The sequence below is a fragment of the Homo sapiens genome, chromosome 2 (assembly GCF_000001405.40).
Source record: "Homo sapiens chromosome 2, GRCh38.p14 Primary Assembly".
Taxonomy (NCBI): domain Eukaryota; kingdom Metazoa; phylum Chordata; class Mammalia; order Primates; family Hominidae; genus Homo; species Homo sapiens.
This window is the reverse complement of record NC_000002.12, coordinates 238127938-238154161: the sequence shown is the minus strand read 5'-3', so window position 1 is coordinate 238154161 and position 26224 is coordinate 238127938. Positions and strand designations below refer to the sequence as shown.

General features: G+C 61.5%; 2 protein-coding genes across 4 annotated transcripts in view, besides 3 other annotated features; both read right to left on the bottom strand.

Moving 5' to 3' along the window:
* Window positions 381–880: an enhancer, noted in NCBI's record as "H3K4me1 hESC enhancer chr2:239061923-239062422 (GRCh37/hg19 assembly coordinates)". NCBI's record gives its function as "activates a minimal SCP1, AML or CMV promoter by ChIP-STARR-seq in primed H9 embryonic stem cells {active_cell/tissue: H9 hESC(primed)}" and the evidence as "EXISTENCE:reporter gene assay evidence [ECO:0000049][PMID:30033119]".
* Window positions 1215–15494, bottom strand: KLHL30 (kelch like family member 30). The gene is made up of 8 exons (NM_198582.4): window positions 15404–15494; window positions 12634–13477; window positions 11231–11363; window positions 9174–9260; window positions 8330–8485; window positions 6140–6328; window positions 5010–5155; window positions 1215–3348 (listed from the first exon to the last, which is right to left on the bottom strand). Exons 2-8 carry the CDS (start codon window positions 13405–13407, stop codon window positions 3097–3099), a joined length of 1737 nt encoding a protein of 578 aa, NP_940984.3. The 5' UTR covers window positions 13408–13477; window positions 15404–15494; the 3' UTR covers window positions 1215–3096.
* Window positions 12725–13238: an enhancer, noted in NCBI's record as "H3K27ac-H3K4me1 hESC enhancer chr2:239049565-239050078 (GRCh37/hg19 assembly coordinates)". NCBI's record gives its function as "activates a minimal SCP1, AML or CMV promoter by ChIP-STARR-seq in naive H9 embryonic stem cells {active_cell/tissue: H9 hESC(naive)}" and the evidence as "EXISTENCE:reporter gene assay evidence [ECO:0000049][PMID:30033119]".
* Window positions 15495–20874: 5380 nt separating the features above from the next.
* Window positions 20875–26224, bottom strand: part of ESPNL (espin like) — a 32948-nt gene continuing 27598 nt past the window's right edge. For 2 of the 3 annotated variants that reach the window (NM_194312.4, NM_001308370.2), the window contains 2 exons: window positions 25258–25455; window positions 20875–24034 (listed from right to left, as the gene is read on the bottom strand). In NM_194312.4, coding sequence (NP_919288.2) covers window positions 22430–24034; window positions 25258–25455 — 1803 coding nt within the window. In that variant the 3' untranslated portion in view covers window positions 20875–22429. The other variant, XM_011511087.2, reaches the window with a different exon arrangement.
* Window positions 23128–23798: an enhancer, noted in NCBI's record as "H3K27ac-H3K4me1 hESC enhancer chr2:239039005-239039675 (GRCh37/hg19 assembly coordinates)". NCBI's record gives its function as "activates a minimal SCP1, AML or CMV promoter by ChIP-STARR-seq in primed H9 embryonic stem cells {active_cell/tissue: H9 hESC(primed)}" and the evidence as "EXISTENCE:reporter gene assay evidence [ECO:0000049][PMID:30033119]".

The window sequence follows — 26224 nt, the reverse complement described above, 5'->3', positions numbered from 1 at the left end:
GTCAGGTGACCAGTCCATTTAATTACAGTCACATGAGGGTGTCAATGGCCTGATCCCAGCAACCACTGTCCCTGCCTGAATAGAGAAGATGCCAGATAATAAAAGGGGCCTGTCTGTGAGGTGTTGGAAAACTCAAGTCCGGTGGAAGTGGCTGGAAGCATGCCTAGGCCCCAGCTTACTTGGGGACCCGGGGGAGCTGAGATACAGTTGGCAGTGCTGGGCCTGGCTGAGGGCCCTGTGTGCTCACTGAAGGCTGAGGGGCCTCAGTTTACCCAGCATCCTCTATGGGAAAGACAACACGCACCTACCTGGAGGACATGAGCACATGGGGCCTGGAGGTGGGTTTCGCCCGCACACCCCTGTGGGCATTTGCACATGTTCCAAGGCTACGCGCTCCCCTTTCTAGAAGCCCATATTAGCCTCAAGCCTTCTAATGAGTCCTTGCTGTCCTGGATTTTGATGATGGAAGGGGATACCTTGGCTGCCCTATGGCTGTCGCTTGGTGAGTGAGTGCATTAATGTCCCTTCGTGCAAAGCTCTCAAGTGGGTGACGTGTGCCGGACCTTCTGGCCGCCGTCCTGGTGCCCTGGCCACCTTCTCCACCTGTTCTGTGTCCCCAGGTGGCCACTACAGCCTGTCAATGGCCTCTCTTCCCTCTGGGTTCTGGTTGGGCTTGGCCTGTAGGAGGCGCTAGTGGGAGACAGGGGGCAGGCCAGAGAGAGAGGGCAGATGGACTCTGCCACCTCCTCCCAGCTGGACAACAGGGGTGGTGGCTGCGTTCCCCCGCCAAGGCCCTCTCTCAGCAGCTCCCTGGAGTCTGCGTCTGCCCTTTCCCTTCTCCCAAGACGGGGTGGGGGGGGTGGCACTCCCACTGCTGCTGTCCTGGGATGCCTCTCCAGCCACTGGGCTCCCTTCACCCTGCCCACAGCATGGGGAGAGGCCGTCGTGAAACTCTCCTTAGCCACTCACCTCAATACCCAGCAGACGCCCCTTTCCTCCTGGTGCCCTGAAGGCTGCGATGGCCCCCTGAATCAGGAGCCCAGCTGATCGGACGAGGTGCACTTTGGCACCTCAAAGCTGGGAGCCAGGCCCTGGAGAGGCCCACTCCTTCCACCCGAGGACCGCCCATATTCCCATAGGGTGTGCAAGGGTGGACAGCAGGCGTTGCTCTGGCACGCCGCCCTTTTGGCTACTTTGTGATCAAAGCCAGCCTATTTTGACATTTCATGTCTTCAGTTTTATTTTTATTTATTTTAAAATATTCTTGCAGAAATGGTTTACATGGAGGCTTTGTTTTTAAACAGCCCTTTGGCTGACCTCCTTCCATCACTGTCTAGAAAACATTTCAGATTTCCACATGGAAACAGAGCCCAGGGCCCCAGAAACCCTCACCCTTGCTTCATCCAATCCATCTGCCACCGAAGGTCTCCTCAGCTCTGGGCTCTTGTTCCTTTGGTAGCACCCAGAGGCCCCACTCTGTCTGGCCCTCCAGGGTCAACTCACTTCTCCCACACCTTGTAATCCCAGCACTTTGGGAGGCTGAGGCGGGCGGATCACCTGAGGTCAGGAGTTCAAGACCAGCCTGGTCAACATGGTGAAACCCTGTTTCTACTAAAAATACAAAAATTAGTCAGGCGTGGTGGCGAGTGCCTGTAATCCCAGCTACTTGAGAGGCTAAGGCAGGAGAATCTCTTGAACCCGGGAGGTGGAGGTTGCAGTGAGCCAAGATCTCAGCATTGCACTCCAGCCTGGACGACAAGAGCGAGACTCCGTCTCAAAAAAAAAAAAAAAAAAAAAAAAAAGCTATGAGAGGCAGGTCTGGGAGCAAAGCAGATCCCTACCTACAGAAGCTCAAGAGGCTCAGGGGTTTCCGTCCTCAGAACCCAAGGATGTCAGAGGCCCCTCTGGTCCCCAGGGGCGGGGGGTGTTAAGGAGGAACCCAGGGGCTGGTCCTGGAGAGGAAGCCTGGATCCGGCGGGAGACCGGAGCTGCCCAGGGCCTCTGGGGCAACACCAGGGCCTGTGCCTGGCCGGGCCCGACTCCTGACTTCTAGCCCCATGTCCCAGGGCGGAGCCTGTGACAGGAGGGACACGCCATTGGGCACCCAGGGAGAGTCCTTCATTGTCTCCTTAGCTGCAAAGGTGGGTGCCTCATTCAGGATGAGGGAGAAGCCACTCGGAGCCTGAGCCAGCCGGAGTCGGGCTGCATGCTGGCAGGGGCCCATCGGATGCTACCCCTCACCCTCAGGAGGCTGCCACCAATGCACCCAAGAGTCGTCCCCTGGTGGGAAATTCCATTCTAATGAAGAGCCTTTGTTCTGACACACAGAGACGGAGGCAATCCCTTCTGAGAGCAAAACTGCTCACCTCCCTGGGACCCTCCAGCCCCGCCCCACGCCCTGCCTCCCTCCTTCCTGGTGCCTCTGTGGGCACCGCCCTCTGGGTGCAAGAGATGGGTGGGGGCCTCCTTTGTCCACAGAAGCAGAAACACAGCACCAACATGCAAAGCCTGAGTGGGGACCCAAAGCCCACACAGCCAGCCCCGTGTGTGGTGGACGCGGAGCTTGAAGCCCAGAGAGGGGAGGTGGCTGGCCACAGTTACGCTGCCGTGAGCTGGGCAGAAGCAGGCCCACGAGGACCTGGTGCTGATCCCATCTCCGGGGCCTGCCTTCCCCAGCAGCCTCAGCTTTCTGGGACGCTCCGTGTTCACCCCACATTCATGCAACTGCTCCAAAAGCCCCTGCTGGGGTCCAGGGGCAGGAGTGGGGCTCGCAAGCTCTGGGAATGCTGGCCCGGCCCCCGGCTCCCCTCTCTGAGGTCTCGGGAACCCCAGGGGCAGCAGAGCTTCCTGTCCCTGTTATGCCAGCGTCTGGCACTCAGGCCCTTGTCACTGCTCAGCTCAGAGTTTAGTGTGGTGGCCACAGAGACCAAGGCTGTGTCCTCCAAGCCATGCCGTCTGATCACCCCTGGTGGCCTGAGCGCAGCTTGGAAGGAATGGTAGCTCCGAGTGAACAAATAAGCGAAAATGAAAGGGGCCGTTCCACAGGCTGATGAGGGGCCGCTGTGGGGACTCCTCCCCGGGGACCCTGGCCCTGGTTTAGTGCTCCTGGGTGGGGCCGGAGGGCTGGGTCCACTTGGAGACATCCAGGAAGACGGTGGAGGCCCCGTGGTAGAGCCAGAGCCGGGGCAGGGCGCCGTGGCGGGTCCAGGTGTCCCGAACCGTGTCGTAGGCCTCCATCTCCACGTGGTAGTCACCTTCCATGCCCTGCCAGCGGCCGCCCGTCACGTACAGCGCATCACCCAGTGGCACCAGCGCGCCATTCTCATGCAGGCTGTGCTGTGACTGCACCTGTGCACGGTCAGCGGGTTAGCGTCCGGTGGGCGGGAGCTGGAGAGCAGGGCTGAGGGTGCCCTCAGCAGGGTCGGGGGAGTGGCAGAGAGGACAGCCAGCCACCTGGCCCAGATCCCCTCCAGGGCATGAGCGCAGAGTCCCTGGGCAGCCCACCGCAGCCCCTCCAGCCTCCTCAGACTCTTCTTTTGGTGGGGAGGTCCCTTTCCCTCTCTGACCCTCAGCCCTTGGGATGACACTTCCAACCCCTGCAGTCAGAGGGGGCCCTGAGGCCTCCCGGGGAGGTCCGGGCTGACTCGAGGCCTCACTGAGGCTTCGCTGTCTCACAGGAGACAGGTGTGGCTCAGCCCTGGCAGACAATCAGGAAAAGCCTAGACAAGCCCACCGTGGGTTCCCTTGCCTCACCCCTGCACCCCCTGCTCAGTCTATGGCCTTGGGAGTGCCCCTGGGAGGGGTTGTGGGGTGAGGGCGGGTGGCTTTCCAGAGGCTGGAGAGAGCTGCGGCTTCAGGAAGAGCCCGGGCGGGTGGGAAGCGGGAGGCCGGTCTGTGGCCTCCAGATGAAGACAGGGAAGAGGTGAGGACCCAGGCCTGGAGAGGGTAAGGCAGAGCCCTGCTGTGCTGGGACCTGAGCCTGGGACAGTGGCCTGGGCTGGAGGAAGGCCTGGCTGTGGCCCAGCTGGGAGGGCCCAGGCAGACACGCTAGCCTGGCAGGGCCCACCCTGCACCTGTCTCACCGCTGTAATGGGGGCCCTGGGTCAGCTGAGCAGTGACGCCAGGGGACAGCTGTGGGCAGCAGGATTGCAGAAGTCCTGCTGTCACCAGGCCAGCAGCCTGCAGGGGGGCTGCAGGAAGGAGTTCCACCTTCTCAGCCTGCAGGGACTGGGAGTCTTGGGGCAGGTGGGCAGGTCCAGGGCATCTGGCTTGGTGCCAGGACCCATCCCCAACTTCCTGGGCACTGTCCCCTTCACCAGGGAGGCCGCCCAGAGGCTCACCTCCCTCCCCTTCCTCAGGCACTGATGGTCAAAGAGTGGGCCATGGTGGGATGGCACTGAGGACAACAGGAAAGCCCCCAGGCTGGTGGCTCTCACCTCACCCTCAGCTCAGGAACCCCCTCCCCAACTTGGCCACCCTGGGGCAGAGGATGCCCTCCCTCCTGGTCCCTATAGTACCCTCCGGCTGAACCTGGCTTTTCTCCCTGAGAAGGAGGACAGGCCACTCCTCTGTAGGAAGCTGGGTGTGCAGGGACAGAGCACCAGTGGCCGGCAACCCAAATCGCGTTCTCCCACCATCACCGTCACCCCTGTCCTCAAGGGGACTCGGGCCAGGGCACTATTGTCACCTTGTAGCCTGGGGGGATCTCAGCCTGCGCCACCCACTTTATTGTGGGCCCTCTGTGGGCACCCCAGCCTGCACCACCCCCTTCATTGTGGGCCCTCTGTGGGCACCCCAGCCTGCGCCACCCTCTTCACTGTGGGCCCTCTGTGGGCACCCCAGCCTGCGCCACCCCCTTCACTGTGGGCCCTCTGTGGGCACCCCAGCCTGCGCTGTCCCCTTCGCAGTGGGCCCTCTGTGGCACCCCATCCCTCACTTCCCAGGCTGGCTCTCTGATGTCAGGAGTCCTGGGCAGGGGCTCACACATGTTGGGGGAGGGGGCGGCCCACCTTCTGCCACAGGTTGGCCCCGGGGTCGTACACGTAGACCTTCTTGGTGTTGTCCCCAATGAGGTAGAGCTCCCCGTGCAGTGCAGCACAGCGAGGCGAGGACAGGTACTTGGGCAGGAAGGGCGAGGCGATCACACTCCACGCATCTGTGGGGGGCACGGGCACTGGCCACCGTCACCAGGGTTGCCAGAGCGGGCACTAGCACTGTGCCCCACTCTGAGGGACCCTGGACTCAGTGCCTCTCTGAACCTCAGTGAACCTGTCTGTGAAATGGGAGTAGGTCCCTGCGGTGCAGCTGGGAGGGACCCACACCTGCCTCTCACCCAGCCTCGATCTTTCCCTCTGGGGACAGTGACCCCTCACAAGGCTGCAGCATAGGTGAGGGGCCTGTGGAGGGTGCAGGGGTCCCTCAGGACTCTCCCTGTGGTGGGGGTGCTTTGGCCTGGCTGCCGCCCCACCCACCCCACCCTGACTGGGGACTGCTGGGGGCCCCTCCCTGCCCAGCCCCCAACCCCGGGCCTGGTACCCAGGTGGGCCTTGCCTGGACTCTGGGCCCAGTCAGTCTCTTGAAGGGTCCTCACATCCACGCCTCAGAACAGGGCCCGCCACCATCTACACTGTCCAGAGGGTGAAACAGGACTGGAGACCAGGGTCGGGGTGGACGGCTCAGAGCTCAGGGAGGCTGCGCTGGGCCTCAAACTCTGGCACAGAGTCCAGAGCCCAAGATGGGCCTCGAGGCCTCGGAGGTCGGGGTCACCACTCCCGGCCCGTGAGGCCCTTTTGGGTAGAAGAACAGCCAGGCAGCTGCCAGGTGCTGGGCTCAGATCACTGGCACCCCACCCCCACCCCCAGCCCCAGCCCACTGCTGCCCTAAGGCCTGAGCAGGACAGACGTGCAGCTCGCCTCTGTGCTGGGACTCTGCGGAGCTGACGCAGTGGGTCCCTGACCTCTTAGGCCCCTGCCTTCCTCCACATCCCCTCCTCTTTGTGAGAGGCCTGCGGCCGCCGGCTCTCTCCACCCCGGGCCCCGTCTATCCTCAGGAGCCCCAATCCTCACCATCACTACGAGCGGACTGTCGCCTGTCAGAGGGGCCTGTGGTCCTCTATCCTCGGTCCCTGAGCCCCACCCACCTGTGACAGGGTTGTAGCACTGCAGGGCCAGGGCGTTGTACTTGCAGGCGCTGGAGCCCACCAGGTAGAGCCGGCCCCGGCAGCCGGCAGCCGAGAAGTTGCTGACGTATTTGAGGGCCGGGCTGACGGGCGTCCAGCTGTCCGTGTAGGGGTCATAGCTCTCCACCTCCACCACGTCCAGGGTGGTGCCTGTGGGGTGAGGGCGGGGGCAGTTCAGGGCTGGGGAGGAGAGGGGAGGCCTGGAAACTCAGGGGCTGGGGCTTTGTAAGGCAGCAAAGTGGTGGGAGGTGGGGTGGGCTCCCCATTTCACAGACAGGGAAGCTGAGGTTCTGAGAGGTGCTGGCACCTCCCAAGGCCGCCCCGCCAGGAAGTGGTGGGGGTGGGGGTGGACACTCGGGCCTAGAAATGCCCCACTCCTGAGCTCGAGCTGGGGCTGATGTTTGGGAACGGGGTGGCGGGGAGCTGTCAGGAGGCTGCCCGCCCCCAGGCCCCTCATGTGCTGGGAGTCATTTCCTGGGGTGCTCTGAACTGGAATGGAGGATGCCAGCCCTGGGAGGGCGGGTTGCGAGACCCTGGAGCTGTAGGCAGCTCCCTCCCAGTCCCAGATACAATCTGGGTGTGGCAGTGATGGGGACGCCTCCTGGGGAGAGCAGGCCCTGGCCTGGGCCTCTGTGAGCACCTGGGGACCTCACAAGCCCTGGGCTCGGGAGCCCTGGGTGCTTTCTGCTCTCTGGTTGGGGACACGGTAGCCACTGAGAGAAAGGGGACAGCTGGGACAGATGGGGCATTAGAAGTGGCCTCAAGACCAGTTCATCACCTACAGAGCTTTTGGGCCCCATGTGTTTTGTTTTTCTTTTCTTTCTTTTTTTTTTTTTTGAGACAGGGTCTTGCTCGGTCACCCAGGCTGAAGTGCAGTGGTGCGATTACAGCTCATTGCAGCCTCAACCTCTCAGGCTCAGCGATACTCCTACCTCGGCTGGCACGTGACACCATGCCTGCCTTTTTTTTTTTTTTTTTGAGATGGAGTCTCACCCTGTCACCTAGGCTGCAGTGTAATGGCTTGATCTCGGCTCACTGCAACCTCTGCCTCCAGGGTTCAAACGATTCTCCTGCCTTGGCCTCCCAAGTAGCTGGGATTACATGTCCAGCTAATTTTTGTATTTTTAGTAGAGACGGGGTTTCACCATGTTGGCCAGGCTGGTCTTGAACTCCTGGCCTCGTGATCCGCCTGCCTCAGCCTCCCAAAGTGCTGAGATTACAGGTGTGAGCCACTGCACCTGGCCTGGCTATTTTTTTTTATTTTTTATTTTTTTATGGGCTGGGGGCAGCGGCTCCCTCTTGTAATCCCAGCACTTTGGGAGGCTGAGGCGGGTGGACCACTTGAGCCCAGGAGTTTGAGACCAGCCTGGACAACATGGTGAAATCCGATCACTACAGAAAATACAAAAATTATCTGGGCATGGTGGCATGCACCTGGGGTCCTACCTACTCAGGAGGCTGAGGTGGGAAGATTGCTTGAACCTGGAAGATGGAGGTTGCAGAGAGCTGAGATCACTCCACTGCACTCCAGCCTGGGTGACAGAGAAAGACCGTCTCAAAAATAAAAAACAAAATAAAAAATACATAAATAAATAAATAATTTTAAAAAGGGAGACAGGGTCTCTCTATGTTGCCCAGGCTAGTCTCAAACTCCTGGGTAACATAGAGAGACCCTGTCCTCCTCCAAGCAGTCCTCCTGCCTTGGCCCTGCCAAGTGCTGAGATTACAGGAGCGAGCCACCACACCCGGCCACATTTTGTTTCTCGATGTTCCTTTAATCAGTGACGGCTCCTGGGTGACTCCTTGCTGTAGCTGCAGGTGCTGGTGGGTGGGTGTGGCCGTCCCCACTGGCTGCTCCTGCAGGAACCCCTCCTGGGGCCTGAGTCACCATCTTGCTGTCGCTGTCCCAGCACAACAGAGGCAATGGGAGCTGGCCAGGGAGGACACCTGGGCTGTGGGTCTTGATGGCCCGCCTGGTCAGGAGCCCTGGCCTGTGGCTTGCCCGCCCCACCAGACAGCGAGCCCTGAGGGTGGCAGTGGGAGCGGCATCTCCGTGGTCTCCGAGGCCAGCATGGGGCTCTCGGTTCCTGTTGCTGCAGGGATGAGAGGCTAGAACCAGGCCCCAGGGAAGGGTGGAGAGGAAGGCCTCACCGCCGATAACGTAGATCTCCCCATTGAGGGCCGCGCTGGCGTGGTTGGTGCGGGGCTTCAGCATGGGCGCCACGGGCTTCCAGGAGGCCTCCTTCAGGGGGAAGCACCAGGCCTGGGTGGTTGACCAGGTGTCTGTCTTTGTGCCCCGAGAGCCACCTGCCGGGAGAAGTTCTGTCTACATGGGTGCCACCAGCCTGGGGCACCAGGCCATGGGGTGTGGATACCAATGTCCAGGGACCTCCTCCCATGCCAGGCCATGATCTCCAACGTGGTGAGCCAGAGGTGGGACCAGGGTAGCGCAGCCGAGCTGTGTGACTGCCCAGGTCCCTCCATCCCCATAAACAAGGACGACAAAATCGGTGGTTTCAAGCCCCCATCAGCAGAAGCTTATCCCCTCCCAAATCTTACAAGGAACCCCAATCTCTGAGATAGGAAAGAGCAAAGTGACCCCTGCAACACACGACTCTTTCTGGGGACCAAGACAGACACCTGGTCAACCACCCAGGCCTGGGGCTTCCTGCTGAAGGAGGCCGCCTGCAACCTCGTGGCACCCCATGCTGAAGGCCTGCAGCAGCCACGCCAGCGTGGCACTCAGCGGGAGGCCTGGAGCCTCACCTGAAGGAGCTGTGTGATGCAGGGGTGGGCCCACACTAGCCTGTGTACAGAAGCGGCTCCCAGCTCCCACGAGTGACCACGGATTTTAAATGTCCTTGTTTTCACATGCATGGAAAGGCCTCGGCAAGCCTTGACTAACCCTCAGGGACCCCACGGAGTGCGGGGAGTTGCACTGAGCCCAGTGCTTGGCTGGGCAGGGCATCTCTGGAAGGGTCCCCGAGCTGCCCACCTGTGACATAGATGTTGTTGTTCAGGGCCGCCAGGGAGAAACCCCACTTGTGATAGTCGGGGAAGTCTGGAAGTGCCATCCACCTCTCTGGCAGGAAGAGAGAGGCAGAAGGGTCAGGCTGCCAGGCTCCCTGCTGGGGTGGTCCCCACTCCCCCTTCCCAGGTGCCTTTCCATGCACCGGGTGCAGAAATGCCCCCCTCACTGGTGGGGAAAGGGAGGGGCAGGGTGACACTGGTACGGGGGCCCGGGGGGTCCTGGGTGCTTCTGGCTCATTGTGTCTCCCCCACCCACTCCGCAGAGCCTGGAACTCAGAGTGGACACAGGATAGCCCCCTGGAGAAGCAGCAAGGTTTTGGAGGCCGGGGTCTCACCTTGACCCTGCAGTTGACCCCACTGACCCCAAATGGACCATTCAGCCCCTGAGTCTGGTCTGTCGGTTAGATGCGGTGTGGGTTAAGTGGCCTGATCTGTGGGTGTCACTAGTGGGTGATAACACCAACAGCATGCCTGCCTGCCTGCCTGCCTGCCTGCCTGCCTGCCTGCCTGCCTGCCTGCCTTCCTTCCTTCCTTCCTTCCTTCCTTCCTTCCTTCCTTCCTTCCTTCCTTCCTTCCTTCCTTCCGAGCACCCTCCCTGCCCTCCTGGCAGCCAGGCACATACAGGGGATCAGGACCTGCAGCAGGCAGAGCAGGTCCAAATCTCAGATGTGGTGCCCCAGCTGTGTGTCCGTGGGCAAACCCCAGCCTCAGTTTCCTTGTTGTAGAATGGGGATGACCCCAGCCTCCCGGGAGCTATGGGGACTTCACAGAACTGCTCAGCTGATGACAGCTGTTAGGATTATTGTTCCTAGGGTCGTGGGGCAGAGCAATGTGCCCAAGTCAGGCCTGCCTCTCGGAGCTACAAGAGGTAAACTGAGGCAAGAGATGAGAAAATGCTTTGGAAAATCAAGACAATAAATGTGGAAATGGTAAAGTCCTATAAATGGACATATTTTGGATGTTTGTGGAAGAGACACAGGCCTTTGGGATGTCCCCTAGGAAGACTCTGTTTACTATTTATGACCATTTTTGGGAGATGCGGAATTCCAGGCCTCCCTGGGAGCAGAGCCTGGCACTGTGGGCAGGCACCGTGTCCCCATGACTCATGGCTCTGTCACCCCAGGGTGGGGGTTGCCCAGCCGTCAACAGGCTCTTCCTGCCAGCGTCCCCACCTCCCGGCCAGGTCTGAGAGACAGCTGCTCCCTCCTGATGTCAGCCCCAAACCCCCTCTCTTCAGCCCCTGACCCGAACAGCTGGCCTCAGGCTTCCTGGAGCCTGCCAGCCGCTGACGCCAAGGAGATGGTTGGCGACCTGCCTGGTGGCCCCACACCAGCCAGCCTGCATCAGCCCTTTCCAGAGCACCTCTTGGGGCCAGCGCAGGGGGCCTCCAGAGCCGCTGCGGGGCCCCTCATGCCTCCTTTCCCGCCAAATGGCAGACCTGGCCTCAGTGCCCACTTCAGGGCTCCCTACAACTGTGTGAGGAAGCAGCAGGAGCCCATTTCACAGATGAGGAAGCTGAGGCTCAGAGAGGTGAGGTCACCTGTTTGAGGTCCGGGATTACAACCCCGTTTGGGCTGACCCAGAAGCTGAGTTCTCGCTCCTCCAGCTGCCTGCACCCCTTCACCCCCCACCCCACTCTCCCCTTGGGGTCTCGATTCCCTCGGCAGGTGCACTGAGCAGGGAGCATGGGGAGGAGGCAGCGGCCAGGCCGCCCACCCCACAGGGTGCAGTCTTGGCCGTGGAGGCCTGTACACCGGCTCCAGGGCCTAAAAGGGACCAGAGTCCTGGGCTCCGGCTGCAGGGAGAGGGAGCAGCAGTGCCCGCCAGCCTTCCCCCTCCCGGGGTACCTCGGGCTCCTCTGCAGCCCCCAGGTGAGGCCCACCCAGGCACGCCCCTCACAGGGGCCTCACACAGCTCCCGGTCCTCTGCGAGCCTCATGCGCTCCACCTGCAAGGAGGACACAGCGGCTCCCGCTGGGACAGAGAGACAGCAGGTGGGTCTGGACGCGGGAGGGGTACTCACTGGCCTTGCTGTTGTAGAAGGCAAAGTTCCCAAGGCCGGGGGTGGGCTCCTCACCTGCCTCCTCCTCCTCCAGCGCCTGCCCGCCCACCACCACCAGGACCTCCTCCAGCTTCTGCTGGAGGGCGAGTGGTGCCTGTGGGGTGGGAGGCCAGGGTCAGGGCAACAGCAATGTGTCCCCATGCCCTGAGCCCCCGCGTGTCCTGGGCAGGCCTCAGCATGTGAGTGCATGTGTGCTTGCATGTTGCTGGAGATGGCGTGTGCCCGAGTGCACAAGCTGCTCCCTCCTTGCACCATGTGCCTTTCAGGGGCATTCCTGGAGTTCCTGAACCATCTTCAGAACCGATCCCATAGCAGGTCCGCAGCGCCACGCATAAGCTTCTCCCTGCCCCTGCTCCCTGGGTGGCCTCCAGCAGGCGGCACGAGGGTGTCCCGGCTCAGTGGGAAATGCTGGCTGTCTTAGGAACGGCCGGTAAGCAGTCACTGCCTAGGTCTCCCAGGACCCCAGGCTCTCCCACAGCCATCCACCCTGGCCCCCCATATGGAACCCCCAGATCTCCCACTGCCAGGAATTAGAATACAAGGTGACCGTCCACGGGCAAGGCTCTGAAGCCAGCTCCAGCAGGAGGCCGGGCGCTCTGTGACTGGCTGGAATCCAGTGGGGACAGGGGTTAGGGTTTAGCCCACTACTCACTCCACCCTTGGCCTGAGGACCATCAGTCTGAGCCACTCTTTGTCCCCGGACTTGGCTCTAAAGGAGTGCCCCGAAGCAAGGCCCCTGAGCAGGGTGCCCGGCAGCTGACCGAACAGCCACTCCCAGACCTGTCATTCCATCATGACCTGCCATGCCTGCCAGGCACACTGCCAGCACAAACAGGAAGTAGCACCCCATAAAAGCTCAGGCGGACTGCCAGGCCTGTCTGTGCCTCCTTGCCTGTGCACAAGCTGCACCTCCTTCCTGGATGGTTTTCCCCTCTTTTCCTCCTTGTGAGCTCCTATCCCTCCTCTAAGGCCCAGCTCAGATGCTGCCTCCTCCAGAGAGCCCTCCTTGACTGCCAGCCCACCCAGAATGCGTCCTAGGCATGTATTTGGCCCTTCCACACTGCCTGAGGTCTGTTTCCAGGCTTGTCCCACTGAGCTGCAGGCTCCTTCAGGACAGGGCCAGATCTTACCACTTCCACATTCCCCTGCCCCTTGCACACAGGGCGTGACACACACAGAGGCATGATCTGCACTTGAGGGCTGAATAGTGATGTCCTCATGGGGAACTGGCCCAAAACAAGGAGCGTGGCAAGGTCAGAGTGCACCTTGGAATGTCCACTCCTTACTCTGTCCCTACTCAGGTGGGGTCTCTGGGGCTCTCCTCCCTGCTTCCCAGGGATGGGGCCTCCCAGCCGCTCACTCACCCCATCATGGCCCTGGGACAGGGCTGCCCGGCATGCCTCTGACTCCTGGATCAGGGGCTCTGAGGCCAGCAGTTGCTGCACGCAGGGCCTGGGCACGGCGTCCAGGTGCACTAGGCTGAGCAGCTCGGGCAGGTGGGCGGCCCGGGCCTGCGGGTCATGGCGCACCCAGCGCATCAGGGCCTCGAGTCGGCTTTGCTCCGGCTGTACCTGCAGCAGGTCGCCGGCCAGACAAGTGACCAGCCGCTCTCGGGGAAGCTGCAGGAACTCGTCCTCACGTGCCACAGCCTCAAAGTTCTCTCGCAGGAAGGCCCAGGCCTTGGCAGCCACGCCCAGCAGCCCTTGCTGCTCCCCGAACTCACAGATGCCCAGGCAGTTGGCGGCATCCAGTTGCTGCTGCAGGTAGCGGCCGCAGACCTTCTGCACCGAGGGGAAGTGCAGGCGCGCAGCCGTGCGTGTCAGCGCCTCCACGTTGCCCTGCGTGATGGTCAGCCGGCCTGTGTACACGAAGTCCACCAGTTGTCCCACCACGGCGGGCTCCACGTCCCGCAGCTCCACGCGCGCAGAGAAGCTCTCGGCGAAGTCACCCGCAAACATGGCATGGAAGTAGGGGCTGCTGAGCGCCAGGAGGCCGCGGTGGCATGGCAGCTCCCGGCCGCCCACCAGCAGTGTGACGTCGGCCAGCTTGGGCTGAGAGCGCAGGCGCTGCAGGCCATCCAGCATGTCCTGGGCATGCGAGGGCAGGTGGAAATCCAGGTCATCCACGTTCCGCACCATGACGCCGTGCCCAGGGGACCTCAGTAGTCCACCCACTCAAGGGAAGAAGTGCCTGGAGCCGCCCGAGCTCCTAGGAGAGAAGAGAGCAGGGTCAGCCAAGTGGGGATGGTCTCATCCTCCTGAGCAACCCACCCGGTCTGTCCATCAGCCCTTTCCACCCCTTGATAAACACAGGATGGGCATCGACCATATGCCAGTCACTTTACCCCCCATCTGCCTCAAGCCACCCCCAGAACCCTGCAAGGTAGGGCAGGTGTCATTCCCATTTGCAGTGAGGAAATTGAGGTTCAGAGAGGGTGGGAGACCTACCCATGGCCAGGCATTCAGGGCAGAACAGGGTTGGCAAAAGAACCCATGCCCTGGGTGTCATCTGCAACCCTGGGCTACACTGAGCCCACCCCCCAGGGACCCCGGAGACACCCAAACTCCCGGGAGGCGTCCTCCGTCCCAGATCCCACATTGCTGGGGAGGCCATTTGGGGGCTGCAGCAGCTCCTGCTCCCGCGGTGCTCCCAGGTGCCAGGCCACGTGCCAAGCATGCAGAGAAGCTGTGCATTCACCACTCAGCCCCACAACAGTCCTGGAGGGTGGGTGCAATCATTGCCTCTTTTACAGCTGGGGAGACTGAGGCACAGAAGGTTTCAGTCACTTGCCCAAGATCACACATTTAGGAAGTGGTGGAGCTGGAATTTGAACTCAGAGCTAGGCTTGGGGGCCCAGGCTCTGAACCCTGCATTCCACGTGGCCGGGTGGAGGCTGCTAAACAGAAACGGCCAGCCAAAGGCAGCGTTCTGGAGGGTTTCGCGTCACCACGCCCGCATGGTTGAAGTCAGCAAGGCCGCTTTCAGGCTCATGTAATTATGTGCATGTGGTTTATGTCCTTCTGGTATCGCACCCTAAGACAACCATCCCTAGGAGAGATCAAGTCTGTGCACAAGCCTTCGACCCGGGTCACCCCAGGGCGAAAGGCTGCGCAGCGGAGAGGCCGTTCGCCCGCTAGGGGGCGCCTCGCGGGGCCATCCCGGGCAGGAGAGGCGGCCGCGCGTCCACAGGTACAAAATGCGTGGGAACGCCACGCATGGAAATGACAAAGCTCAGCTGGAGAACCAGGAGGCCAAGAATCTGGCCCGGGCAGCCACGGTGCAGGTACAGGTGCAGGCGATGGGAGCTAGGGCTCCCCGACTTCCCGACCCCGGTGCCACCTCTTGACCCCAGAGCGGGGAAGCACCTGGGAGCCCACAGGGCCTCGCGGACCAACCCGGGCTCGCGCACAGGGCAGCTCACGTGGCCGGGGCCCCACACCCCAGCATCCCGGCCGGTACACGAAGTACCCACCCAACACTGCATGCATGGGGTTCCTGCCTGGCCCCTCCCCAGGAGGCGCTGGCCCCGGTGAAGGCGGCTCTGCCCTCCCTGGGCAGCCGGGAGATGAGCTGGGGCCTGAGTAGGTGACAGGGCTGTCCCTGGGCCACCGCCTGCAGGCCTCACATTCCCGTCATTGTTGTGCTCCCTTGGGCCAGCTGCTGCCGGGCGATGGGCAGGCACGCATGAGCGCCCCCACTTCCCCTGGGGGCCTCGGGGTGCCTGCTGACACCTGTCACCCTGCAGTCCCTGCATGGGTCGGGGCTTCCTGAGGGTCTCAGAGCCTCACCCCAGTGCCTGCCCAGGCCCGGAGTGAGGAAGCCGAGTGGGCAGGACAACAAAAGGCCTGAGCCCAGCCAGGCTGGCGACTGTGGCTGAGTGGCCCTGGCTGCCATCTGAGGGGTGGCCCAGCCTCCCCCTCCCACCTCTCCGGCTGGGACATGGAGGGAAACCTGTCTCCTGAGCCCCCACCCTGAGGAGCCTGGCTTGGCCGCTGGCAAGGGCCAGGGGGCGTCTCCAAAGCACCCTGCTGTGATCCCTGGCCTCGGGGGCCTAACCCACCCTCCCCGCTGCTCCTGGCTGGGTTCCCCCTGCCCTCTCTGCTGTCCCCTGCCCCAGAGCCCCCTGGATCCTACCTCTCACTCAGCCTGGACCTCGAAGCTGAGAACACAGACCCGAGAGAGCAGGACTGCCTAGCCGGCAGCCAGGGGACACGGAGGCCTGCAGGGCGGGGCAGGGCTGGTCTGGTGGCCACGTGGGGAGGGTATTTTTAGCCTCTGTCTGCAGGGCGAGGGGAGGGTCAGGCAGTGAGGGCTGGGCTGGTGGGGGAAGGAGTGAGATGCCGGCTCCTTGGTGACTGTTAGCTCAGAAAGCCCACTGAGGCCTTCCAGGGACTTGTGGCCTAGGACAGACATCAGGAAGGGCTCCAGGGCAAGGACAGGTGAAAGCTGTCGCGGTTGGGCTGGCTGGTGGGGGCAGGGATGCAGCTTCCCCACCTGTTTCCTCGTCTACAAGTTGAGTACAGTGGAGCCCGTGGTGGGGGCCTGGGGTCACAGAGACCCTCAGCCCAGGGCCAGGACACCGACAGGTGCTGCCCTCGCTGTTGATGTCAGCGGCACCTATGTGTCCTCTTGTTCTGTTGTCACGTGGGAAAACGTGATTATCATGAATAAGCACAGGTTGGTCAGCAGAGGCTTTCCGAGCTTGGGGTCCATGGTGGCGGTAGGGAAACTTTGCCCAGAGAGGGGAGGTGCCACACTCAGTTGCCCCGCCCAGCTAGCGTGGATAGGGGAGATCTTGGGGCTCCTTGCCCTGCTACCCCATGGCCTTGGCCTCGGGGCTGCCCAGGACGGCTAAGAAACAGGGTCACCTAAAAATACAGCAGTGGACTATCAGCCTCCCGTCCAGCACTTGGTTCACGGTAGTCGCAGGGGGAAGCTCTCACGCCTGGGACTGAAATGGGCTCAGAACCACAGGCCCTGACCAAGGTCAGGTGGGTTGAGTTGGGGACCCAAGAGGCCACTGGACATTTCTCACACCAGTGACCAGAGCAGAGCTTTGTGGCTGAGGGACTTCAGGTGCATGGGAGAGAAGCCCTCAGCCCTCAGCCCTCTACCCATCGGCCATGTGGGCCTGAGCAGTATGACCATTTCCAGGTGTGCTGCGACCTGGAGGAACTGGGGAGTATTGGGTCTGGCTGTGGCCTCTTGATGCTACTAGGGATTGTCCTAATGCTCTTACAGACCAGAGAGGTCCAGGCGGCCCCCAGGGAGACAGAACCCCACTCCTGGTCCTGAGATGCACACAGCCTATGGAGGGGAAGCTCACCTACAAATTACTGCCAAGTCTGCAAGGTGCCCTTAGGGTTACCTTCCATAGAGATTCCCTGAGTCCATGCTTCCTCTACAGCCCAGCCTGGCCCAGCCATAGCCCAGCCATAGCTCAGCCCAGCTCAGCTATTGCCCAACCATAGCCCAGCCATAGCCCAGCCCAGCTCAGCTATTGCCCAACCATAGCCCAGCCATAGCCCAGTCCAGCTCAGCTATTGCCCAACCATAGCCCAGCCATAGCCCAGTCCAGCTCAGCTATTGCCCAGCCATAGCCCAGCCATAGCCCAGCCCAGCTCAGCCATAGTCCAGCCGTAGCCCAGCCGTAGCCCAGCCCAGCCTGGCCCCTGCTCCTGCTCTTTCCCCTGCTCGTGTCCCACACTGTCCCAGGGTTTTTCCCCAGCCTTGGGCATCAGCCTCATGTTGTGTGGGGGACCCTCATGGAGGACCCCAACTCTCGCTGTGTCCAGGACCACTATGGGGTGGGCGCTAGAGTGTTGGGTTTCCGTACTGTCCCCCTTGTTTGCAGTCCTGGCTCGGGCTGGAGGAAATGAGGACAGGGGATTCTGATGACAGGCTGCTGTCACGGGGAGCTGGCTCTGCTCGGGGAACAGCACTGCTTGCCAAGTGTGGAGGCCTCACAGCAGCCGTCGTGGGGCTCGGAGCCCCAGCACCTCAGATGACAGGTCAGTCTGGGAAACTCAACACCGGGGGCGCAAAACAGATCCTCCATCAAGAGATTGCTACTGAGTGGCGCAGTTTTTAAAAATACACCACTTGTTTCTTTTTATGAGGATAAAAATAACACAAGTTCCTTTTGGAAAACAGAAAAATAAAAAGCAGAAAGTGTCATTAGTAAAAGATCATTTGCCATTAGTATGCTTCCAGCTCTTTCCTGTTGTCAAAATGAGCCTGCCTGCGTGTGTGGGTCAGCGCCCTTTCCTCACACCTTGTTATATTGTGGGCGTTTCTGATGGGATCAGCACTTGAAGATTTTGAATTTCTGCCGGGCATGGTGGCTCATGCCTGTAATCCCAGCACTTTGGGAGGCTGAGGCGGGTGGATCACCTGAGGTCAGGAGTTTGAGATCAGCCTGGCCGACATAGTGAAACCCCATCTCTACTAAAAACACAACAATTAGCCAGGAGTAGTGGCGGTGCACACCTATAGTCCCAGCCCGCAGACCCTCCCGCCCCAGGCCAGGCTTCCGATGACTGCAGTTGGGCTGAGCACTTCATGGGACCCTCCTGAGACATCCTGAGGTGCAGCCACCCCACACACGTGCTCCCGAGGAGAAACTGAGAGACGATGCGTGTGACCATGCGTGTGTGCTGTTCAAGGACATTGGATTTCAGGCAGTTGACTATGCAGCACTAGGTCACTAGTACAGCAGACAAAAACATGTAAACAGCAGAGCAATGGGGGGCTTCCATCTCAGATACGAAGATGTCATCATTACAGCGTAAAATGCCATCAAACAAGGTGGTTTTGACCCAAGAATAAACAAATCCCAACAGCCAATGCACAGAAAGCGGTGCCACGGCAAGTCCGCAGGGAAGGAGGGGCCGTCTGACGTGTGAGAGTGCTGGTGAAAGGGAAACAAGGTCAGCCCGATGGAACCCAGGCCCCAAATCACCCCAGATGGAGTGAGAGGTGCTGTGCAGGGCTGTAAGGCCCCCGAGAAGGGGGCAGACTGATATGCGGACCCAGCCTGGGACATCCTCACAGCTGGAAGGCCCCCAGCCCAGCAGAGGGGAGCTCACTCACACAGTTTTTTGTTTGTTTGTTTGTTTGTCTCTTTGGAGATGGAGTCTCGCTTTATCACCCAGGTTGGAGTGCAGTGGTGCAATCTCCGCTCACGGCAACCTCCGCCTCCTGGGTTCAAGCGATTCTCCTGCCTCAGCCTCCTGAGTAGCTGGGATTACAGGTATGCACCACCATGCCCAGCTAATTTTTCTGTATTCTTAGTAGGGATGGGGTTTCACCATGTTGGCCAGGATGGTCTCCTGACCTCAAGTGATCTGCCTGCCTTGGCCTCCCAGAGTGCTGGGATTACAGGCGTGAGCCACTGCACCCGGCCTTACAGATTTTAACTCGGTGATTTCACGCTCGGAATCCATTCTGAGGGAATAATCACACAGGTGACACCACCTTCATTGTAATAGTCCCAAATGGAAAACAGCCTGAGCGTCCACGAACAGAAGGAGGTTATCACTCCCAGCTTCACAAAGAGCAACGTCATCCTATTGAGATGAAATTGAAAATCTTTTTTGTTTTTGAGACAGAGTCTTGCTCTGTCACCCAGGCTGGAGTGCAGTGGCATGAGCTCGGCTCACTACAACCTCTGCCTCCCAGGTTCGAGCAATTCTGCCTCAGCTTCCCGAGTAGCTGGGATTACAGGTGCCCGCCACCACGCCCAGCTAATTTTTGTGTTTTTAGTAGAGACGGGGTTTCACCATGTCGGCGAGGATGATCTTGATCTCTTGACCTCGTGATCCACCTGCCTCAGCCTCCCAAAGTGCTGGGATTACAGGCGTGAGCCACCGCACCCGGCCGACATTGAATTTTTAAATGAGCTGGGCTTTGCATTAAGCCTGTGCACCGACATGCAGGGAGCCCGCCCCTCTGCACATTGACCCAGCTGCGAGGGAGAAGCTGGGGTTCCAGCACCGCCCTTGGGGAGGGTTTCTGTTTTTCCACATCTCCATCCTGCCATCTATGGACTGGGGACACGGGGCTCCCTTTCTCCTGGATGTTTCTGACTCATGGGAAGCCCCCAGGCTTTGCGCCTTTGCTTTGCGTGTGACCACCTCACTGACATCGGCACCTCCGGGGTGCTGTAGATTCCGTCTCTGGTCCTCAGTGAGTCTTTTGTCAATTGAACAACAGATTTATAGGCACCAAATGGGCCCTACAGCTGTGAGTGTGGTGGCGCAGGGGCCAGTGCCTGCCTGCCCCCGGGGACACGTGCTTCCCACAGGTGAGCTGCTGGTGGGCCACGGGTGCCAGCTGCTGGGAATCGGAGCCGCCTGGAATGTGTTAAAACCCCAGCTTTCCAGACCTACCCCAGGCCAAGGGAATCAGAATCCCTGGGGCAGCTCCCCCAGAGGCAGGGTGTTGGCAGAAGGTCATTTAGGGGTCACCCCAGCAGCACTCCAGGGGCCTAGCCTGGATCTGAGCCACATCTCACCCCTCGCCTGGCTCATCCCACCCCAGGCTCTCCTGGGACCCCTGATGTGTGTGTCCCCTGCTGGCCTTGATCCAGCTCCTCAGCTGGGAAACTGAGGCCTGGAGGCTATGGAGGACTTGCCCAAGGGCATAGCGAGTGGGCAGGGACAGCCGGAGCCAGGAGGGCCGACTCCCTGCCCAGTGCTCTCTCTTGAGCACCCTCGGCCAGGGAGTGACCTGAGGCCTGCTGCCCCTGCCTCCAGCCCCCTCCTCTGTCAGGGCCCTCAGAACAACATTGCCAGCAGCTGGTGCATGAGGGGATCTCAGGAGACACTGCAGCGCCCAAACCTTCTGATGCCCCCAGCCAAGGGCTCTCCCTAGACCCACCTGCTGCCCCTTGCCCTCTGCCAGCCCTGGGCAGTGACCGCACTGGGTGGAGCAGCCCTGCTCTGTCTCCACTGGGGGCGTGTTGTGGCCAAGAGCCAGGGCCCCACTGACTGAGAGGCAGCGTTCAGGATGCTCCTGGCTGCTCCCAGTGCCCTGCTCGTTAGAAGCAGCTCAGAAACACCTGTAATCCCAGCACTTTGAGAGGCTGAGGCGCGCAGACTGCTTGAGCCCAGGAGTTCAAGACCAGCCTGGGCAACATAGCAAGACTTTGTCCCTACAAAAAATAAAAAGAAATTAGCTGGGCATGGTGGCTGACACCTGTAGATTCAGCCACTGAATCTACAGAAAAGAAAAGAAAAAGAGAAAGAAAGAAAAGAAAATGAAGGAAAGAAAGGAAGAAAGAAAGGAAAAAAGGGAAGAAAGAAACAAAGAGAAGGAACTCTGAAATGCTGGCTGCACGTTGGTGAGTGTCTGAGACGATGCTGTTTCCCCAGCACAGAGGCCCCTCCCATGTGGGACCTGCATCCTCCTTCACCACAATCCCAGGAGCATGAGGTCCGCATGCATCCCAAGCTGCAAATGAGAAACCAGAGGCTCTGAGGGACTAAGGACAATGGCCCTGGTATTTCGGCAGAGCTGAGCTGAGGACTCGGGTTTGGTACCGGGCTCTGTGAGGGCGTAGGCGGCTCTCAGGGATGGGTGAACAACAAGTGCAAGAGAGGGGGTGCGCTAGGAATGGGAATCTTTATTTAGCAAACACATGTTCAGCTTCAGCTCTACAGCAGGGTCTTCAGCAGTGGAGGAAGCCGGAGCGGGCCGGCTGCAGGATAGGCCCTTGTGGAAAAGCCACTGGCTTGGGGCTGCGGCCGGTGCTACTTCCCTTCCCGGCCCTGCCTGCCCCAATGGCCAATACCACCCCTCCCAATTTTACATCTTCTTGAGTGTCCGTCCCCTTGGGCCCTAGTCAGCTGCGAGGGTCTCTCTGTTCCATCCAACAGCTTGCCCGCTGCCCTCCAGGTTTTGCCTGGACAATCCCCAGGGATTGAGGCAGGGAGTCCTGATAAGCCTGTCGCCTGACTGCACCCTCCTCTGTCCCAGGGGGCCTGGATGCCAGGAGGAATATTCCTGAAGCCTCCCGTCCCTGCCACTCCCTGCTGGGCCATCTCACAGCTGCAGAGCCCCACCTCCAAAGTCCCTGTGGGCTTGGGCCCAGCCCTCCTCAGCCCCAGAGCCTGGGTGATGACCCATTCTCCTGGCTGCCATCAGAAGCTGGGGACAAGCCACACCCTATGCCAGCCATGCCCAGCACCATGCCCAGGAATACTCCGCAGCACCCAGAGCCCCCGAGGACGGAATCCATCTCCCTTCCTGTATCCCTCCCTCCAGTACCCAGGCCCCTGTGAAGAGGTGCACTGTGGGTGACACCCAGGTGCCCTCACGGAGTATCCACGCCCCCCTGAGGTCTGGCTGCTGCCCACCCCTGCCGGCATTCTCCTCTGTGTGCAGCAGCCTTTGAGAGTGGGCACCAGCCACCCTGCCTGGAGGACTCTCTCAGCCACTGCTACTCCCACGTCCCTGCTCTCCAGCCTTGCTGGGGCCCACGACTAGGCCAGGGCTGGTCAGGCTGGAGGACAGGGGCCCCATGGGGAGCCTCCTTTGAGGAAGCAGGGCCTCCGGAGCACCCTGGGCTGGGGCACTGGCCTGGCGGGCATCGGTGTGTGACCAGCAGGGATGGCCTGGCAGGAAGGCCTCCTGCCCATGGAATCTGTCCTCGGAATCACTCCAGCTCCCCCAAATTCACAGATGGGAGGTGAAGGGGTGTGACCCAAGGTCAGCAGGAGAAACAGGGGCAGGACCAGGGCCTGGGGCCACCTCAGACTCACATGAAAGATGGATGTGGCCGAGGCCACCAGCACCACAGAAACTGAGGGACAGGACGCCAAGGGAACTGGTGACACTGGGGAAGGACAAGTGAGAAACAGGCAGCATCCCAGGTCTCGGGGGCCGGCTGGGCAGAGGTGCCCTGGACTGGGGTGGCCCATTGCCTCACTTCAGGACCTGCCAAGGGGCTTCCTGGGTGCAGTGGTGAGAAGGAGTCTGAGTCCCAGCTCGGAGGAGAACCATGCCACAACAGAACAGTCCCGCAGCCTCCGATAACTGGTAGGACTGGAGGCAGCCTTGCCCGGCTCACCTGAACACCAAGGGTGTGAGCAAGGAAAAGAAAAGAGAAACTCCAAGTCACCCCCAAACCACATTCTGGAAAGCAGGCTGCCAGTAGGGTCATTCTCCAAAGTTGAACATCTCAGCTTCCTTCTCCTTCCAGAAGGCAAAGCTGCGGTTGATGTAGCCGCAGATGTCCTCACCGTTGAAGCTGCCCTGCTGGGAGCGGGACCCCAGCCGCTGTGCTGTGGGCTCAGGGCCGCTGCAGGGGACGGCGGCGTGAGGCAGGGGCCCGAGCAGGGTCAGACCTGACTTGCGGCCAGGCTCCGTATCCCAGGCGGGACGCTGGCTGGAGCCAAAGAAGCGGGCTTTGATGTCCTCGAAGCCGTCGGTCCAGGCCCGGCGGCCGGCGGCCACCTCGTCGGTCACGGCCTTGTGGAAGGCGCGCACAGCCTCCCAGCCGTGGGTGCCCAGGTGCTCGAAGACCTCGAAGCACAGCAGGTGGCGCAGCTTCCGCTCCTCCGCCGGCAGGTCGCACTCCAGCAGCTGGAAGTAACCCAGCATGAAGAGATCCAGTGAGAGGCTGCTGTAGGGCACCGGAGCCCCGTCCACGTGGGGCAGGAACTGCTCGGGGGACAAAGCCCCGCGGGGCTGCCGGCTCAGCCGCCGCAGCTGCCGGGCGGGCACGTGAGCCATGATGGCCTTCCAGTTGCCCAGCAGGTGGGTGATGGTGCTGCGCTGCTGCCACAGGTGGCCCAGCCGGGGGCCCTCGCTGGGCGGGGAGGGTGGCCCAGGGCTCCTGGCGGCCTCCTGGCCCCGCAACCCCGCGTGGCGGGCTCCTAGGGTCCTGCAGGCCACTGTCTTGAGGGCCGGCGTGTAGGCCGATCTCCTCCAGTGGCTGAGGAAGAGCATGATGATGCGCTCCTTGCGCAGGCTGGCCAGGTCTGGGCCGGCTGCGGCACCCGCCTCTGATGGCACCTCCTCGCAGCTGATGCCAGAGTCGCTGGCCTCCTCTGTGTCGCCAGGCCTGGGCTCCCCTGAAGCCAGGCCACTGCGGGGCTTAGGCAGGGCTGGCCAGCAGCCACTCAGGCACTGCCTGTGCTGGGCCCCCGGCTCGCAGGGGCCAGGGTTGAAGCCACAGAGTGGGCCAGAGGCCGACTCGAAGTTGCCCCGCAGCGTCCGCACAGACACCCCCCACTCCTGGATCTGGCGCTGGGCCTCGCTCCGAGGGGGGCTGGCCGAGGCCTCCCTGCAGGTGTCCTGCAGGGGCCGGGTGGATGGCTTCTCATCCCCCTGTACTAGCCCATGCACGCCCTTCAGCAGCAGGGACAGGCTGCGTACCAGGCGGGAGATGTGGCTGCACCAGAAGGGCAGGGGCTGCACCCCGGGGGCCACCTCTGAGGCCTCCGCAGACCCTGCGGGCTCAGCCGCTGGGATTGAGGCCTCCTCAACCTCCAGTCCGGGCGCCCGGGGCAGGAAGTGGCTGTTGACCGTGATGCTGACCAGGGGCTCGGGCAGCAGGGCCTGCAGCTCAGCCGCCAACCGGCCCAGCTCACTCTCATACTCCTGACAGCGGCGCCGAAGCTGCAGGTCTGCAATCTGCTTCTCCAGGTAGACCAGGTCATCCTCTGTCAGCAGCTCCCCAAAGGGCCCCAGGATGGCCTGATGAGTCTGTGAGTACCTCCAGGCCGCCTGCTCCGTGGGGCCTGAGCTCCCACCATTGTCCTGGGCACAGGAAGGGCAGGGTGAGCAGGGTGAGCCCACCCACCCACCATCAGCCCACCTAGCTTCCAAGTCCCTGAGTTCTCAGTATCTCTGCAGAGCCTCTGGTCCTGCCCCAAGGTAAGACTTTAAAGGGCTTCCCAGCTAGGGCAGAAGCCCCTGACCTGCTCTGCCCGTCTTGCTCTGCTCTCAACCCTGTGGCTTTCAGCCCCTACGGCTCCCAGCCCAACAGGCAAGGACAGGCTGGGCCCTCAGACAGGGCTGTCCCACAGTCCTGAGACGATGGAGACAGGCTGTATTCCAGCAGCCAGGAGCCACCTGTGGCTACAGAAACGACAGGTGGCTGGTGCGACGGAGGGGCAGGACTTTTACTTTCCTTAAATTGTAATGAATTTCAGTGGCTGCATGTGGCTGGCAGGATTGCGCTGGACACAGCGCTGGGCCGGGGGCACAGAACTCAATCATCTTGACAAAATCATAGGACTCTGAGGACATAATTCCTGAACTCCTGTCTGCACAGCAGCCCGGGGAGCCTGTTAAAATCCAAGGCACATCACAGCCCTTCTCTGCTCAGATTCTCAGTGGCTCCCCACGGCCTCACAGAGGTGCAATAATCCCAGCCAGGTTCCTCTCCAACCTCAGGCGCCCACTCCATGCCAGGGCGCCTCCTCCTGCTCCTCCCCCGGCCAGCCCGGCCTCAGGACCCTTGCACTGGCTGTTCCCTCTGCCTAGGAGGTGCTTGCCCCAAATTCCCACAGGGCTCCCCCTCTCTTCCCTCTGGCCCCTGCTCAAGGCCACGTCCCCAGAGGGGGCCCCCTAAGCACCCATATATCATAGTCCCCCAACTGCTTTGCTTTCTCCACAGCAGTGGGAATCGCACCCCACACACCTGCCGGCACCTGCCCATGGGCCACCGTCTTCCCTGCTAGACGCTGCGCCCAGGAAGGCCTAGAACAACGCTTGGCACAGGCAGGCATGTGCCACAAATCCGCCAAGTGGAAGGATACGTGGGACCCATGCCTCCAGAGCAGGTGAAGGGGCTCTGCTCAGAGTCCTCTGGTCAGGTTCACTTCATCCTCCGGCGGAAGCAGCAGCTGAGGCCACAGAGGAGAGGGGCCCCTGGGTCTTGGATTCAGTTCTGGGCTTCGGGCGCCCTGACTTCCACTTCCACCTACCTGGAAAAGGCCCCGCCCCGCCCACTGGTCCCGCCCCTGCCGGGGGCCTACCTGGGCCTCTGCGGAGCTCTCTGCGCCCAGGCGCGCCTGCAGCTTCCGCACCATCACCTGCCGCTTCCACTCTGGGATGGGCTGGCCGCGCTCATCCCGCGTGGGCACCAGCCCGTCGATGTCGCCTGAGGGCAGCCCATCCAGCTGTAGTGCGGCCAGGCCATCTGAGGTGTCCCCCGCCAGCGCCGTCTCTGTCCCCTGTGCAGAAGGGGGTGGGTCACACAGGCCCGAAGGGGACCCAGGCCCTGAGTGGAGGGAAGATCCGAGAGGACGTGGGGGGTTGGCTCCGCCCAGGGCACGCTAACAGGGCGCCCTGAGAGGAGGGACAGTGGGGGCCACGGACAGCACCCCACCCCCTCATCCCCAGCTTAAGAGTGAGGCCTCAGAGGGGAGGGACTGGAGGGGGCGGGGTAAGATGTGTGTGAGGGGATTGTCGGCAGAGAAATGAAACCAGAGGTCCCTCCCCGTCCCCTGTGCAAGCCCAGCAGATGCTCGCGGAGCGCACCGTATCCCTGGGCAAACTTGCTCTGGGCACAGCTACATAGACAAAGCCTGGCAGCCAATCCTGTGCCGCGGAGGGCTTGTCAGAGCCTTCAATGTGCCGTGCGCGCTCCAGCTCTCCACGACGGGCAGCAGCGCCACGTGGCGTTTCCCAGACTCCCACCGAACACCTCAATGGTTGAGAATCTGCAGTACCACGCAGGGAAAGTCTGGGCTGGCTTTCTAAGGGCCCGGCGCCCAGGAAAGGGAGAGTAAGGGGGAGCAGGACCCTTCTGCTGGTCTGGGCTGGCCGAGGCCCTGAGGAGGAGGACGGTGGCAGCGGGGCCCTGCCCATGGATGGCTGCTGCGATCTCCGCACTCCAAGCGGGCACGGAGCACCCCTGAGCTCAGAGGTCAGGGAGAGGGGCCTGGGCCACTGCAGCCCTCTGGGATAACAGAGAAGGGTCCCCGTGTTTCTGTGGTGGGG

Excerpts from the sequence above, each read along its gene's own strand:
- KLHL30 (NM_198582.4), bottom strand. The coding sequence starts at position 13,407 with ATGGTGCGGAACGTGGATGACCTGGATTTCCACCTGCCCTCGCATGCC. Across the intron at positions 8,486-9,173 it reads CAACAACATCTATGTCACAG|GTGGCTCTCGGGGCACAAAG; the intron begins GTGGGCAGCTCG and ends TTCTCCCGGCAG. Across the intron at positions 6,329-8,329 it reads GGAGATCTACGTTATCGGCG|GCACCACCCTGGACGTGGTG; the intron begins GTGAGGCCTTCC and ends CTCACCCCACAG.